The following is an 18,642-nucleotide window of genomic DNA, read 5'->3' as shown; positions in this document are numbered from 1 at the left end:
TTACACATACTTGGAGTTTGTTGATTCAAATATAAGCTACTATATACATAGGATATCATTTAAAAGTTGGATTTCAATGGAAGTGAAGACATAAGGAAAGGCAGAAAGACCATGTTTCTTGAAACTATTTCTGGTCTGGTTCTTGAGGGTTTCTAGATTCTTGGGTCTTGTGCATATTTATATTATCTTATCAATATTAATCAGGCAATGGCTCTAAAAATTTTACCCGTCTAAAAAGTGTTGTATAAAAAGGCCTCGGAAAATGGAAACCATTAACGAAGTATCTTCTACTTCACTTTAAACTCTGCTTTAAGCATCAACTAGTCTGTCTTGAAATTCACTGTAAAGCTTGACTGCCTGGATTCGAATCTATAGTATAAGCAAATTTTGTGAATGCATAAACTGGTATCGTAGTGATTTCCACAATGACTAAACTAAAAGAGATCTCCTGGTCATATATAAATTCTGTCCAAGAATATAAAACCATTAAAAATAAATTTTACAAAAAATAAACTGAAGAGAAATTTCCACAAATAGTCATATAAAAATGAGTGTTAAGTATTTTTAGTCTGGATACTAATTAAAATACAGATGTCACAGCTACCATAAAAATTTATACTTTATACCTATAAAAGGAAAACAAGAAAAAAACCAAGAAACTAAGAATTATAAATACAAAATGAAATGAACAAGACATAAATTGCCCAATACTGAGTTTAACAGGCTTCATAAATGGCTGAGGGGCTCTTGCTTCCTATCTAGGAAAGCTGAAAAAGGGATAAGTAAGGGATTCATTGTGATATAAAAAGTCAGCTTATGGAAAATACAATTAAGTGATCAAAAATCACTCTAAAATATTTTTCAAAGACACTTTTTATTCTCTTTGGGAAAAAAAATTACCAAATATAGAAATGGGAATATCTGTCAGTGGGAGATACAAAATAAGATTCCTTTTGTTAAAAACCAAAAAAACCTTCTTAAAAACACAAACCTATAAAGGATGATATTCACTATCAAAAAGAAAGAAACGATTCTTTTGAAATAAGATCTTCTATATTTTTCCACTAGTTATTTTTTTTTTTTGTAAAATATACTAAGATAAAGCCACATGCAGACTAACTTTGTCATAAGAATGAAATGTGAAATTATAGAGGGTGGCTTTCAGATGTTTCCCAAAGCAACAGTTGTAAATTGAGGATCGAAGGCTCTGTGTTTTGAGGAGGTGGTAATAGAAAAAGAAGGGTTTTCAGACTTGACAATTTCTATTTTATTTTAGATAGTAGCACATTTCTTCACATATCACTAAAAGCATGAGAAAGTTTAAATATTTGGCATGTTTATATCAAACATAAAATATTAAAGGCTAAAACTGGATTCTTGATTTTCATATAATGTGCTTTTGGGAATCTGTTCATATATCATGCATAAGTGGCTTTGGAATATTTAGATGTTATGTTTGCTAGGGCAAAATCTAATATTCTTATTTGGTGGTGGCCCACGATAAACATATTGAGACATCTATCGTTCTAAACTTGAAAGGCTGATCTTCTGTATAATATAGGTAATTTGTTCGATAAAAATTCATTTAATAAAATCCCAAATATGTGGAAACTACAAATTAAGTAATATCCACTGGCTGGGAAACTCATGCATCCATTTCATAGTTGGTTTCTTCATATCATTTATGTCAGGGCTGACCTTCAGAATATGGTCAAAATTTTGCTGGCTTTACCATGTCACTCCAGCACACCATTTTTGCCTTGATATTTCAAAACTTTTGTTTAAAGCATTTGTATTTAATTTTTTTGTAATTGAAGTTTTAAACATATATAAAAGTTCTACTTTATGCATACTTTTTTCCATTATCTTTTTCCTTTGTTGTAGAAGTTCAAAACAAATCTCTCACGTCGGATCATTTCAACTCTAAATACTTCCATTTGTATCTCTATAAAATAAGGACTTCATAAAACCATAATTATTCCATAATGCCATATAGTGTGTTCAAATTCAAATTTTTCAGATGTCTTGGAAATGTGTTTCTTCAGTTGGCTTGTACTCGTCAAGCTGAAATAAGGTTTCCTGATTGCATTTGAGTACAACTGATTTAAGTCCCTCAATTTAGAAAGGGGCACCCATTCCTTCATTTTCATGTTTTTGATGAACTGAGGAAACTGCAGCAATACACTTTTAAGTTGTTCCACATCCTGAATTTATCTGATGGTTTTCTCATGTCATTTACTTATTCCTCTAAATACACTATTTCTTTAAGCAGAAGGTTATAGCTAAAAGCTTTCAGGTCAAGCCTTTGTGGGTAGCATACTTTATGAATGGTGCCATGTACATCACACCTTTCACATTACAACTTTCAGGGTTGCTAAGATCTATCAGGCAATGCAGGTAGTGGCAGCCTAATCCTCTGTCAAGTTTACCACCAATCTGTCTCCTAATGCGATGGTTCTCAGCCTTGGTTGTACAATGCAATCACCTGGGTTGAAAATTGGGTGGAATTTTAACACTATTGCTGTCCAAGTCCCACACTCAGAGATTCCAATTCAATCAGTCTAAGCTGTATTCTGAATAATGGAACTTTAAAAAACTCCCAGGGTGATTCTACTGTGCAGCTAGGGTTGGGAACTTAAGAGGTTTTAGCATCCACTGACAATCTTTGCTTGAATTATTTCATTAGGGCTTGCAAACTAGTGATTTTTCTAATTTTGTTATTCTTTCTACATTTATCAGCAGGAATTCTTTTGGAATATTTTACATAATAGCTAGGATTATTTACTTATCCTGAAATATGAACAGGACAGGCAGGATAAATTTTTAATTCTTCTCTTTAATGACTAGGTTTTAGAATAAAGCAGTGGTTCTCAAACTGTGCACACTGGAGTCACCTGGGGACTCGTTAAACCCCACTGACGCCTGGTTCCCAACTCAGACTTTCGAACTAAATTGTGTGGGGGTGATGCCTGGGCGTCAAGATTTTAGTAGCTCTGCAGGTGACTCTGAAGTATAGCAGTGTGTAGGAACCTCTGGAGTGAGATGTTGGCACCCACAATTATATCCAGTGGTGATTTTTTAAGTTTGTTTTTTGCTTGATTTGGTAGTGGTTGTTGCATTTTTCATGATAGAAAAATGTATCTGATCATTTTGAGCCAGCTATGAAGACAGAAGAAAGCCAAACTGACAGGAAACAGTATGATACTTTTACTATATTCTAAGGTCATGCTGATCTCCAATCTCCATGAGAACGAGTTAATTAGCATGATGGTCCGGGGTATGCTCAAGTTTCCATGGAGTGTTATGATTTAATGAATAGTTAATAATGATATTTAAAAATTATCTTACTTTGTTCAATCTGTTCCTGTTTTATGATATAGAGAAATTTGAAACAAATGTTTTTGTTAAAGCCTAGTAACTTATTAAAATTTTAAATAATCATGAAGATTTACATTCCTGTACTCTGGTAACATAGTAAGTGTAGATAGGACTACCAGGTGCTATCAGTAGGAGCATAAATTGTTAAGCTTTCTGGTGGGCAAACTGACAATATTTGTCAAAATTAAAATGTATACACCCTTGTCCAGGAAGTTTCAGTTACAGAAATCCTATCAGAGACACTCATATATGTGCAGAAAGAATCTTCTCATTGTCTGTCAAAGTACAAAACTGGAAAAAACAAAATGTTCACTGATAAGAAACTGGTTATATAAATTTTCAAACGATGAATACTATTTAGCCATTAAAAAGAAATAGGGCTTTATATACTGATATAGAAACACATCCATTACTTTGTAATGTTAGGGGAAAAACTTAAAAGTCACAGAATAACGTAGAGTGTATCTTCATTTGTGTTAAACCAAAACAAACAACTCAAATGTGTGTGGATACTTAGACATACATACAAACACAGTTAACAGTCTGGGGTGTTTCATTATTCCAGATTTTTTCCTATACATTATGTGTGTGTGTGTGTGTGCAGTTGTGTAGGTGTGTTGGTCATGGTATGGGAACATGTTGGAATGAAGGAAATTTCTACCTTTTACTCAGATTCTTCCAGGCTGTTTTTTTTTTTTTAAAGAAGCATATCTTATTTTCATCTTAAAACAGTAAGTTAAGAAGAGCTTTTATAGTGGCAATCAGGAAGCTATAGCACTGCAGTTGGTAAAAAGGCAGTCAAGACTGTGTGGCTAAATGGGCCTGTAGAAAATAAGGGAGAGAAACTTGTACTCTACAGCTGATTTTAAAAGAAATTCTTATCATCCTTATATTTAGAAGAGAAACAGGAAGAAATATATGATAAAGTTTTGTCATTTGTAAAGTTTATGGCTATAATAAATGACGGCATCCAAAATCCTCAATAATAGTCCTTTATACATGATTGCTGATCTAATATTTTGTTTATGAACATGTACAATACAACACTCACTTCCTACTGTATCTCCTTTATAAATTCAGTACATTTCTACTGAGGCATAAAGTGTTTCAATTTAAGTCAACTTCTTATCTCATGATGTGCTGATGAATTTTTGTGTTGTAAATTACTTGCACCAGATGGAGGAAAAAAGAAAAGATAAATTGACTTAGGACTACTTTCTCATTTGTCATTTATCTTCGGTATTGATGTTTTTTTATTTTTATTTTTTAAAGCTCATCCCAGTGGAAGAAACTTGTATCTATACATTTTAGAAACAAAATTTAAATACATAAACAAAATGCACAGCCTAGCTCCTACAGTCTTAAATTTAGTAGTAAACATTAACTAATGCCAGTATTTCACACAGTAATGATTTAAATGAATAGTATGTTAAAATCATACCACTTCAATACCTGTTATACAATAAATGAATGCAGCACTGTGAAGTTATAGAATCAGTTTTAAACTTCCTATTTTACTATGGTCTTTTTTCTTCCCTTCCATATTTACTGTCAAACATCAAAACTCCTAACTGCACAGAATTGTTACTATTTTCTCTCCTGTTCATCCAAATCTATTAACCCCTCAGTGCCTTCTGAGTCAACCAGAAAATTTCTCTCACTTGTTGTTTTGGTAGAGATTCCAATCTTTTTTGGCCTCTAATTTCTTACCCATGAGCACCAATTCTTTATCACCTACGTAACATCCATCAATTTCTCGAACACTTTCTTTTTCTAGGAACACAGCAGTGTTAAAAAGAATGAGCTTGGCTGGCTGGCTGGTGGGGACAGAGCAGCACATTCCAGCCCTGTAAGACGGACTGCTCCTGGTCTAATGTGCTAGGAAGAGCTGGGGCGGAGGGAGGCTGGATTCTGAGGCCGATTCTCCTCCCCTGCATTTTACACAGATCTACTCAAGTTGGCAACCACCTAAACTCTAGTAATTTTTTTTTCTCGCAAACAGAAAAACTGTGATATTGTGACTTGCAGCAAAATTCACTTCATGGAATGTGACTGGGGGACCTAAGTAACAATCAATGACTGTTTTGACAAAAAAACTTCAATCCATGGCTTCAACCTATAGATTCTTTCTGATGGGTAGCATATACTGTGTGTAGCTATTTTTATTATTGAGTTGGTGTTTTTCTTTAAAAAGAGGTACGTTCAAAGGATTTAAAGAAAAAGATTCTGTATAGCATTTTCGCTCATGAAGAATTATGATTATACATGCTTCTCACTTTCATCACCCTTTACCTATTATTCTAGTATGTATTTTCTGTGATTTTGATGTTTATTTTTTATTGTATTATATACGTTCTTACAAGTTACCTCAAATTTTGATGGCACACAGAGATTGTATATTTCGAGATGTGAAGCAGTGAACAATGGAAAAACTGACACACTAATATTATGGAAACAGAAGGGAGCGCTAACATAACATTCCCTCGGAAATGTTTCAGCAGAATACACAAGGTTATAAGACATGCAAGAAAAGACAAAGCTGAAACATAAATAAACTGCTCCTCATAAAAAAACACAAAAGATGTGCATTTATATTTTTAGAATGCAAATATGTAACACTGGTAAGCTAGAGGGTACAGAATAATGAAGAGAAAGGGCAAAAGTCAAGATAATAATAAAGCATAAATGCTCCAAAACAACTTTATTACTTCTAGGGAAGAAGTTTAAAGACCTGAGAAAATAAAAATGTTTGGCAGAATGGGCAGCTCTTCCTCGTTCTTTGGGAAGTATCTTTCTCAGCTCCCATACTTCAGAAACTTGGGCTTTTTGTTTTCAAATGTCCTACCCTCCTTAACTTCTGCCCCCAGCCCCTCAACAATAAACACACAAACAAGCAAGCTAGAGTCTCCTGAATCTAATGAAATGAGAGTGAAATGAAAATCTCTTCTGCCTAGGGCATCCTAAGCTCTTCCTTAGAAAATGATGCTGCAGTAGGTTAGCTATTTAAAAATCCAATTCAAAGGCTGGTTCCAGTTTACCACATTTCAACAGAATATAACATCCTGAAAACACCTGAGTAAGCAGGGATCGCTCCTAAGCAGTGATCAAACCATTGCATCTCTAACAATCCACCTATTGCTGAAAGGCTTTTAAAGAGCTAAGCTTTTCAAGTCAAATTTGTAAAACTTAAGAAAAAAGGTAGAGAAAGTGTCTGAAAGTAAACATGCAAAGTATAAAAATAAATGAGGATAAATGAGGACCTTCAATCCTAAATCCTTTTGTGAAATTTTGTATAGGAAACCAAAAAACGAATAAAGAGGTTGCTTTTGTCAAGACCCAGCCAAAGACTAAGTGGACTGATGGTCTTTTAAATATTTTTCAAATTTAAGCCACTCCTCATTTATTCTGAGTAGGACTGCCTAATTCTAAGATAGATGATTTTCATATTATCTTCAGTATCTTTGCAGTCAAAGCAGCAAAGAAAAAAAACAATTGTCAAAATTTATAGAAAAAGCAGCAGCAACACTGCTGTTTTATCCCAATTATTAATATATACTCAAAGTTATAAATAGCATCTACAGTTACTAGAAAAGGAAATATGGGCCAGTGCAGTGGCTCATGCCTGTAATCCCAGCACTTTGGGAGGCAGAGTTGGGCGGATCACCTGAGGTTAGGAGTTCGAGACCAGCCTGGCCAATATGTCAAAACCCTGTCTGTAATTTAAAAAAAACAAAAATTAGCTGGGCATGGTGGTGCACGCTTATAATCCCAGCTACTCAGGAGGCAGAGACAGGAGAATCTCTTGAACCCAGGAGGTGGCTGTTGCAGTGAGCCAAAATGGCGCCACCGAACTTCGGCTATGGCAACAGAGCAAGACTCCGTCTCAAAAAAAAAAAAAAAAAAAAAAAGAAAGAAAAGAAAATAAGATTTTACTATTTTATTCATAAATTTTCAATTTGCTACTCTTCTAACTATAGCTTATTGCCATGGTTACAATTTAAATGTCATAAATATGGCTGAAAAGTGGGTAAACTTAAGAAAAACCACAACATTATACAGTTAAAATATTAGAAAGTAAATACCAGTTGTGATTGCTGTGTTTAGAAGTTAATACCCTTCCTCCTTCCCCTCAAAGGAAAAAAAATTAGTAAATGTAACTACTAGGCTTGAATATGAGTTTTAGGCAAGAGTGTGCTCTGAGAAAAATAAGGAACTATGCAGTTATTAAGTGTGAATTATGGACACACCTGTGGCGAGGGGAGATTAGCCACTGAATTAGTATCTGCCTAACACTAAAGTACTTGAGTACTTGAGGAGCTATTTGGACAACATTTAATTATTATGTATTCAATTTAAATCATTTAATACATTTGTGTACCATATATATTTTTATATTTAGCAGCTGATTGCACAGCCTACTAGAAAAGTAAAAAAAAGATTTGAAAACTTTAATTTAAAGGAAAATACTAAGCACGTAATAGTATATATGGGTTTCTCTTAATTTTTTAATTTTAAATTTTTGTGGGTACAGTGAAGGTATATATGTTTATAAGGTATATTAAGTGTTTTGATACAGGCATGTAATGCATAATAATCACATCATGGAGAATAGTGTATCTATCCCCTTAAGCATTTATCCTTTGCGTTATAAATCATCTAATCATACTTTTGTTATTTTGAAATGTACAATTAAATTATTGACTATAGTCACCCTGTTATGCTATCAAATAGTAGGTCTTATTGTTTTTTTCTATTTTTTTGTACTCTTATATTTGTTACTTGGCCATGATAAAAACCCTGAAGATGGCAGTCAAATGACTTAAGCAACGGGGAAGGGGTAGAAAGGATGCCAAGGCCATAGGTCCACTATAATTAATGTGTCTTCATAATCTAAACTCATTCTCTCTAGACTGTAAATCAACACATGATTATATGCAGTGTCTGCTTGGCTTTTGGTAATTAAAAATCCACAACTGCCCTCTCCAGCTCAGTTCAGCCAGTGTATAGACTGGTGAGGGTTAGGAGAAAAATTGCATGGGGAAATCAGGGTATTTCTCTGGCTCTATTTTAAACAACATTTCTGGCACGGGTGGCATCTCCTTCCTGGTTTCACCTAATGCTGGAAATCTCCCCGTCTGAAGCCCCTCCCACTGCTCCAGCTCTAGGACACTGACAAAACCATCTACCTACCCCTTTGCCTCTGCAGTCCTAGGGATGATAGCAGCTTTCTGGTATCATTATCTCTTGGGTGCTTCATCATCCTGTTTAATCACTCATATCTTCCAACCCACACTTTCGTAACTACATTTTCTGTATCAAATTCCGTATGTTGAACTACCTGGCATGGGTTCTGTTTTCCCAGCTGAACCCTGGCTAATAAATACACCTATTATCCTTGGGTTACAAAGAACTCTTATCCATCAAACACTAAGTCTCCAATAGAAAAGAAAAGGGCAATCTATATTGTACTTCTATATTCTCTAGATAATTAGAAATACAAATGATGACACTAATGTGGCAATATGAGAAGATCAATCCCATACACCTGGAGGGAGGGAAAATTAATACAATCTTTCAGGAAAGCAACTTGGTTACATATAGCAAAAGCATTAAAATATTCAAGTACTTTAAATAATTTTCTTCCTGAAATTCCAGCCTAAGGCAAATCAAAGGTACCAATACAATTTTATATATAGGGATGGTTACCACACTGTTATTTAAAATAGTAAAAAATAAGAAAAAATCTGAATGTCCGATACTAGAGATATGGGTAAATACGTATATACTTATGATTTTCCCTTATAGAATTCCCCTATCTCCCAACTGTAACTGAATATAGTTATACATCTCCACTATAGCTCACCTTCATTAAACCTGAAGTTCTTAAGAGGGCAAGGATGTTTGCTTTAAACATTGACAATTACATGCTAGAAAAGTGTTTATTTATTTCAGAAATAAATTAATTATGCATTCTTAAAGATGAATTTGAAGAATTTTATATTACATGAAAAAAACTGGCAAATGTAACTGCATATACAGTATGTTCCCCATTTCTCTCAAAAGGTAAAAAAACTGTATGTAACACACAAATGCACAGAAAGGCTAAGTGATGAGCTTGATTATAAGTAATTTTATCCACTTTTTGTACTTTTTAAATATTTTCCAAATATCTTTTGATGAGTATATATTACATTTAGAATCAGGAGAAAAATTATATTTACAAAGTAAAGAAGAAAGTCGAGATGAAGGCAGTTGGTAAGGTTAAAATACAACAAATTACTTCACACCCACTAGGACGGCTATAATAAAAAGGATAATAACGTGTTTGAGAGGACGTGGAGAAATCAGAACTGTTATTTTATTATTATTTTTTTTTTTGAGAAGGAGTCTCGCTCTGTTGCCCAGGCTGGAGTGCAGTGGTGCTATCTCCGCTCATTGCAGGCTCTGCCTCTCGGGTTCACACCATTCTCCTGTAGAACCGTTATTTTTAACTAGTGGAAATGTTAAATGGTACAGCCACTCTGGAAAATAATCTGGTAGTTGCTTAACGGGTTAAACACAGAGTTACCATGTGACCTAGCAATTCCACTAATAGGTTTATACTTAAGAGAACTGAAAACATATATTCAAAACTTTTATACAAATGGTCATAAAAGCATTATTCATAACAGACAAAAGTAGTAAGACCTAAATGTCCATCAACTGATGAATGAATAAATATTATTCAGCCATAAAAAGGAATAAACTACTGTTACATGCTATGATAAGGATGAACCTTGAAAAAATCATGCCAAGTGAAAGGAACCAGCCACAAGGACCACATGTATGATTCTATTCAACTGAAATGTCTAGAATAGGCAAATCCATAAGGAAAGAAAGTACAATAGATTAGTGGTTGCCTAAGACTGGTAAGTTTGGGGGTAAAATGGCGTGACAGCTAACTGGCACATGGTTTCTTTTAGGGGTGATGAAAATGTTCTAAAATTGTGGTGATAGATGCACAAGTCAGAATATACTAAAAAAAATTTAAGAGTATTCTTAAAATGGGTAAACTATATAGTATGAATTATCTCTCAATAAAGCTATTATAATAAAGAAATTTGTATATTATACATAAAGAAAGAAAAGGCTGTTAAGAGAAACAAACAAAAAATTAAGTTCACATGCATGTGTGCCAAATTTGCCATAAAAAAAACAAACCTGCAATACTGTACTAACGTCCTGTTAGGCTATAAAGGTTTTAAGGCATTGTGAGTCAAGTTATGAATCAAAAATAGTTCTTGTCACTTTTAAAAACATAACTTCCTTGTGTATATATTTTTTCAAAATATAGATTTTGTTACTAAATGAAAATATTCACCTCATTTACTCATTAGGTATACTTTTAATACCTTCTAAAGGTTGGGCATTTTCTAGGCATGAAGTAGGAGAGAAAAAAGAGACACTTTGCAAGAGCTTAGAATTTGGCTGTGAAGCTAATATATGCACACGAAATATTCCTAGGACGTGTAAAGCAGCATTTACTATTCGTTCATGTATGCAGTATTCATTCGCTCAGGTGGTGAATCACCTAGGGTCTACCATCCACACACAAGGCCCTTGGAATACTTTGTTGAACAGAGCAGACATGGCTCCCACTCTCAGTAACGACCTTAAATGCTGTGACAAAGTGGGGGAAATAACACTGCATCTCACCTGACTCCCTCTGTCCGCCTTGGTCAGATTTCAGATCATTCTCTCATTACCTCCCAAGAATAAGAAGCAGCAGCTTTCTCCTGGCATAGGCTGCTCTCCTAGGTTTCAGGCATGCTTTCTCTAACTCAGTTGTCCCTTATCCACAGCACTCTGGCCCACATGTCTGAACCACATAATAAAGTATTAATATGCATGGACCTATCGGTTTAACAGAAGTGTTTTCTTCACATTTGAATAAAGGCTTTCTTTAGTAATCACATTTCTAAATGCTTATTGAGTGGTGTCACTTGCTGCCCTTTAATCATCTCAAATCCAACACATCTCACACTGTGGTCCAGAGCACCCCCACCGAAACTGGCTCTCCATTTTGACACTCCTAATTGTTTTAACTGTACCATCCTCCCAAACGCAAAACCTCACAGTTATTGCCTACCCACCTGACCACCACACCAGCCTCTAAATCCTTATGAATTGCCTAGATGATCTCACACACCAAATTCTGCAGTAAGCTTTCAATTGGTCTATCTTGTCACTAATTTTTCCTCCCACCAGTTCACACCTCTGCTGTTTCTTCTGAGAAATGTTTAAATAATATGACATTTTGCTTCAAGAATTTTCAGTGTCTCCCCATGATCACGGAGAGAGTATAAAGTCCCTGGAACTTACAGATCTCTGTAATTTCAGCCAATTCAGCCTTCTAGACTTTGCACGTCTTATCACCTCCCAAACCAGTTTTAAATGTTCCCTTCCCGTGACACTTGTGTTGTCTCTTCTTTTGCCCAGTGACAATGCCCTCTCCAGAGCCGCCCATCAAGCCCAAGGCTGCAGGACCATCTCCTCTGCCATCTCAGATGTGGGCTGTCCACTTATATCAGTATTTCCCACATAATACTTACTTGGCAGTTAACCACATATTATTTCATGGTGTGACTTGCCTTGTGTTAAACTGTTGTTTAGAAGCCTTATTGTTAGGTAGCTTTTCACGTTTCTGCCTCATCAACAGTTTGAGTTAACGCTATTTTTCTGGGGGAAAGAACTTCTTTGTATGACAGCCAAGTGCCTTGTATGCAGTATAAGGAACACCAGAATCCTGGCACTAGGTTTAGATAAACTCAGATACTGGGCATTTGGTTATCTAAGTCTTCCTCAATTCAAGTCTTGTTTGAAAAGGGCCAAAGTATTTACACATCAATGCCTATTCCAGCATTACAACATTGTTCACATTACTGATTACGATGTAAGCTCCATGGGGGAAGGGGACAGGGACAAGTGTGTGTTATGCCCATCACTCTGCCCAGCAATGTGCACAGCACCCGGTACATTATGTGAATACTCAATAAACATTTATTGAGTGAAGGCTGAGTATGAAGACATCAACGATTTATGTAAGTGACAGACAGTCTCCTTAATGTAATTCATCCTTCCTATGTGGTGAATTTAGGTTAAAAAGAAAAGATAGAGAGACTACATGGAAAGCTACCACACTATGTTAGAAGCTACTAGATATTCTACATGTGGATACATTAAAAAAATGAAAACTTCAAGCGACTTTTCTCTGAGTATGATAAACACAGTGAAATACCCAACTTGTATAATTAGCAGCTTTCTTGATTACGTAATAACTTTTTTTGAAGTCAGCCCTGTGTTTTCTTATGATGGAAATGGAAACTTTCAGATATGGGGTTAATATTAAAAATGCTGCTGTTCAATGCTTTTTCATTACAGTTGACATACACAAATTTACTCAATTATACTAAAAACTTAAGCATATTAAGTACTATTCCAAAGCAATGTAGCGCAATATTGTCACTATTAAAGGCTTTGCTTGGCTTATTTCACCAAGAGATAGTAAGTTAAGAGAGTAGGCTATGTAATTTGTGTTTATCAAACATAACTTTTATATAATAAAAAACATACCTGTTGATCTCCAAGGAAATGACTTCTCAGTTGAGCTAAAGAAAAAGAAAGAAAAAAATGGAACATTTATTTATTTTGTCATAAAATTTAGCTTAGGACCTGTTTTGCATATTAACATTTAATTTCCACATTAAATTATACAAGAGCACAAAAACCTTAAATAAAATTTAAACTTATCTAAGTTAATTTTTAGATAGTATTTAAAATTGGGACAAAAATTGTTTCTATTTGGAAATTAAGGCAAATTATAAAATGACATAAAATTCTACTTGAAGAAGACAAAACAGCACAACTGTATGATATTCACAGTACTTACATGATGTACTACAGTTTTTTCGTGATAATATGAAAACCACATACGTATCATATATATGAAAAAGAACCAAAAAGGCTGTTAAACAGTTTATTTTATGTATTTTCAAAAGCAGCAATTAGAACAGAGACAAAAATTACTGAGGCCACTTTTGAATTGAATATTGCCTTATAAAATTTAAAACGCAGAACTTCATATCAAAAATATAAGGTCCTATAAGCCAGGATAAAGTGACAGCTATGTATTTTCCTTGGTTATTAGAGGGTGCATTTAAAAAATTTGTGAATAAAAACATATCAGTGCCTCCCTGCTTGCCACCTCTCTTGCCCCAATCAATACAGGAAACCATGGTGTTACAGGGACAGTGTAGCAGAATACAGGAACAACAGAATGGATTATTAAGCATTTATTAAATGCTAGATTAAGCATTTCACATATGATCTCCTTTATGTTATTTATCACAATCTTGTGAATAGGTACACCCTTATTGTTATCTTACAGACAAAGAAACACATGCTGGTAACTCGAAGAGCTGGAACCACACCCAGGACTCCTGGTCAGATTCCAAACTCGTGCACCTTATCACTGTGCTACCTGGCAGAACAGCTTGTGATCCCATTTTTGCATTAAACACATACAGACACATAGACAATATGACTAGAAGTCTAGAAAAATAAAAATGAATGTGCTAGCAGTTATATCCCTGAGTACAGCCATTACATGTTTTTCTTTTTAATCATTTATACCTTTTTTCCTTTTAAAAAACCAGAAAAAGGACATATATTCATGGTATTTTTTTGAGTGCTTATTAAATTTATAGAAAAAGGAGTGTGACTCTGGGCTTAAGGAAACATTCTGCCAAATAAAGCACTTGGAGTGGGGGAAGAACCGTCCTTTTAGTGCTATATTTCTGAGATTTTAAGTTCTTATTACCCCCTTGATACTTTCCCCAAGTCATTATGTGGTTATGAAACTTGCTGGTTGAAAACCCTAGATTCCATAGAAACTCCCTGAACTTCAATTTTGTGTGTGATTTGCCTTTTCTCCATCACAGGTGCAGTAGTTCACATTCCAGGACCACTGAACGAATTGCAAGCAGGGTGACCTTCTCCCAGCAAGTGGAGTCAATCAGTTAATGCTAATCTCCTCCAGGGCTCTGTGATGTTCCTTTATCTGAAACACTCTTAGCTGATTTCAAAATGGACTGATAGGAAAAAGTGAAAACTTGGTCAAATATCAGTAATGAGACATTTGTCTTGCTCCTAAGGGTAGGCCATCACTGTCTTGTGACTCCAAAAGTGGTTCTGCACACTGAATTTCAATTTCTCCTCAATCTGTTTTTGTTATTTAATTCTATTATCTAAATTAGTTTCTAAGCACTGAGATTGGTATTACCCAACTCTGTTTCCTCAAAAGGATCATATTTTATGTCAATATTAAAATACATGGTAAATCAAACTGCCATCCGGAAATGTTTAGTATACCTCAAGTTTCTCGGGAATATTAAGAAAGTTTTATCTTCTGAGTTTGAAACTTATATCAACTTTAATGAAATACAAGACTTTTTATCCTCAAAACTGTAGGTCACAGAATATAATTCCAGCTAATTGCTCAAATGGGGCAAGGGCTGTGGTTGTTTTGCTCATCTCTTTATACCAAGTGCCTAGCATTTGCCAGGCACACAGCAGATGCTTAATTAAATTGTGAAAAAATCAAGTTCTTTAATGTTTTGAAAGGTCAGATTATACAAATTACCAGGTATTACCTAGTATAAGCAGGTCAACTTATTCTCCCCGAGTCTAGGTAGGAAGCTCCAGCAACCTCGTTGTGTAACAATCAAGCAAACAGCATTTTTGCTGCTGAAAGGACCTTTGGTTACCAAAATATAATAGGTATTCCTAGGTGAAGGCAATGGGAAGCCTCAATAATATTCCCTCCTCCATTTAAGGTACCATATATAAATCATTAGAAAAACAAGCTAATAATGAAATTAAAAATAAATAAATAGTTCCATGGTATACTCTGAAGATCATCTATTCAGCCCAACTACTTTCACAGAAACTTCTATAATTCTGAGAAATAACTGGTCATTACATGTTATTCATAACAGCCTATTTTCTTTTTGAATTACTCACTTCAAATGACTCTCAAATTGTTCACTACTTTGGGACTCAGGGATTGGACAACAAAACAGATGGAATTTTGAAATGCTGTTTTAAACCACCAAAGGCAATTGTTCTAATAAACCCATGTTTATTACAACAATCACAGGCAGCTTCATGTTAGAAACATAGGCTTATTTCCTCCTTCTCTCCCTCCAACCATCTATTCCTAGAAACACTTCCTCAACTTTTATTGAATGGCTACAATGTGTCTGTAGGCACTGTGCCCACAAATGACTCCATCCCGGTTCCCTTTCACTTCTCTTCTGAAGATGCCAAGCAGCTTGCGTTCTAGGAGCTTCCACTGGAATGTGAAACACATTTTAAAATACACACAGGAACTGAGTCACCCATGATAACTTTGTTTCAATGGGAAGATATATTCATAATTTAATACGTTAATAACTTAATCATTTAGAATGAAATCCACTAATAACCTTGGGGCTGTCCAGTCAGATGGTGAACATCAATCAAAAGCAAATTTATTACCAAATTAACAAAACAGTTCATTTTAATACGAAAAATCAGTTTTGTTTACAGGAAGACAATGTGCCTTCATCATAATATTACATGAAAATATGTTGTAGATCACTATAAAATTCTACATACTCCTGAAATTAATTTTTTTCATTCAGATGCAAATGGAGGCAAAAATATCTTTGTTGGACATTGACAGCTGTGCAATATCTTTGAAAACTCTCCTTATTTTGCTGTTTCCCATATTAGGAGTCAGAAAATTACCTGCTCATAATCCCCTCCAGCCAGAGGGCAGGCCAGTGAGTGAAGTTCACAAGAAGCCACATGTGGAGATAGGGTGATCCTGAGCATTTGTGGTGGATACAGTGGTGGCAGTAGGCACTGCTCCTTGAAACCCAGATTCAGATTCTGGCTCCCTGGCCTTCCTAGAGACTCCATGAGTTGATATCCAATAGCTCCTAAAAAGTTGCTTTTCTGCTTACATAAGCCAGAGAAGATTCTATTGTTTGCAACCAAAAATCCTGACTGATGTTATCCTAAAACTAACAAAGACAAAGTAGCCCTCTGAAAAGGGCCCAAGACTCATAACTGTAGACTATTTCCAACTGCATACTGGATATGTAACACAGCTCAGATTCAACGTATTGAAATTATTTCCCTCTAAACTGACTCCTGTTTAGTGATTCCCACCTTCAGTCACTCAAACTGAAGAGCAGGGAGTAATTTTACTATTTGTTCTTCCCACTAGTGTGTAACCTCCATGAGGGTATGGCAGGTGGCCTTGTTTACAGACAATGGCCAGAGCCTAAGGCAGTATCTGACACATGGCTATCACTCATTTTGAATTCATCTCTACTACCACTGACACTGTTCTGGCCTTTATCCTCTTATCCTCTTTTGGCTGGGTCATTCTTTCAGTCTCTCTCCTAACTGGTCTTCCTGGCTTTCATTTCTCATCCTGCCAGGCTCTCTTCCACGCTGCTACTACTGCGATTTTTTTCAAACACTCACCTCTGATGTCATTCTTCTGCTGCTAATGCACAACAGATCCATACAGGATAAAATGCAAACATCTCAGATGGCACAGAAGGCCCTGCACCACCTGGCTCCTCCTAGTGTGCCCTTTCCCACACAAACCTACATCTGAAGCATTTCTAACTGCTTGCAGTTGCCTCACACACCATACTGTTTCACACTTCCACTGCTATTTTTAGGGTAGAACATGCAGGAATAGAGTCTGGAAATTCTTTCAGAATTACTCAAATTCTAGAATGGCACATGCAGGTACCATATAACTTGTTTATATACCCATGAAACAGAATGCTCTAAAGTTTACCTTCACTTTGTATCACGTTCTATAATAACAGGAATATTTTTATTTTTTTTGAGTTGGAGTCTTGCTCTCGCCCAGGCTGGAGTGCAGTGGCGCGATCTCGCCTCACTGCAAGCTCCGCCTCCCAGGTTCACACCATTCTCCTCCCTCAGCCTCCCAAGTAGCTGGGACTACAGGTGCCCGCTACCATGCCCGGCTAATTTTTTGTATTTTTTTAGTAGAGACGGGGTTTCACCGTGTTAGCCAGGATGGTCTCGATCTCGTGACCTCGTGATCCGCCCGCCTCAGCCTCCCAAAGTGCTAGGATTACAGGCGTGAGCCACCACGCCCGGCAATAACAGGAATATTTTTAAAAAATGTTTTACTTAAGTTGGTACCCAATTTTCTCCTGGTTCCTCTGTCTGATGTGAGCAAGCCTGCTTTAGTGGATACCAGTAGGTAAACGCTAGGAGAGGGGACAGTAGAGAACTGGATGGAGCCACATGGTAATTCTGCCATGCCATTTCCCTCACCTTCTTTCAGGTAGGGCTCATTTTATCACAAGTATACACAAGCTACTGTTACTAGTCTCTTAGCAAGACATACTGAATTAGGACAAGATCCAAGGGTTACTCCTTTCTGAAAAAGAAACAGTTCTTAGCCTGAAATCAGAATACGGTCAAATTGCAAAATTTACTGCTTTATTTAAAAAAATCAGGCTTGACACAGCGGCTCACGCCTATAATCCACCACTCTGGGAGGCTAAGGTGGGAGGATTGCTTAGCCCAGATGTTTGAGACCAGCCGGGGCAACAAAGTGAGACCCTATCTCTACAAAAAAGTTTAAAAAAAAAATTGCCGGGCATGGTGACATGTGCCTTTAGTCTCAGCTACTTGGGAGGCTGAGGTGAGAAGATTGCCTGAGCCTGAGAGCAAGGCTCAAGGCAAGCAAGGCTGCAGTGAGCTGTGATCATGCCACCACACTCCAGCCTGGGCAACAGAGTGAGACCCTGTTTCAAAAAAATAAACAAAAATAATTGTGTCAAGAAATTTTACACACACATGTATATTTATATATGAATATAACTCATTAATAGCTGAAAAAATAAACCATAGCCAATAACAAATTAAATTTTACTCAGTATTAATTAGAAGGGATAACTCAAATTATCCTAGAAATTGTTTTATTTATGAATGGAGCATGGGTGTGTCCCACTGTCTAGACTATGTACCATCTATAGCCTTCTCTCTGGTGACCAACAATCATCCTTCCAGAATTACCTTGAGGAGAGTTGGTCACCTCCTCCTTTTTATCGTGAATGTACCCAATAATTTATCTCTATTTTTGCACTTTTCACATTGTAACCATAGTATTTGTTTACCTACCTG

The 18,642-nt window shown here is 35.8% G+C and overlaps 1 protein-coding gene across 14 annotated transcripts in view; it reads right to left on the bottom strand.

The window, feature by feature from the left end:
- The window catches only part of PKP4 (plakophilin 4), a 224,478-nt gene that overhangs the window by 65,335 nt on the left and 140,501 nt on the right, over positions 1-18,642 (bottom strand). For all 14 annotated transcript variants that reach the window (NM_001377220.1, NM_003628.6, NM_001005476.4 and 11 more), the window contains one exon: positions 12,991-13,025. In NM_001377220.1, the coding sequence (NP_001364149.1) occupies positions 12,991-13,025 (35 nt within the window). The remainder of the gene's footprint in view (positions 1-12,990; positions 13,026-18,642) is intronic.

Source organism: Homo sapiens, chromosome 2 (genome assembly GCF_000001405.40).
Source record: "Homo sapiens chromosome 2, GRCh38.p14 Primary Assembly".
Taxonomy (NCBI): domain Eukaryota; kingdom Metazoa; phylum Chordata; class Mammalia; order Primates; family Hominidae; genus Homo; species Homo sapiens.
This window is presented reverse-complemented; position numbering and strand designations above follow the sequence as displayed.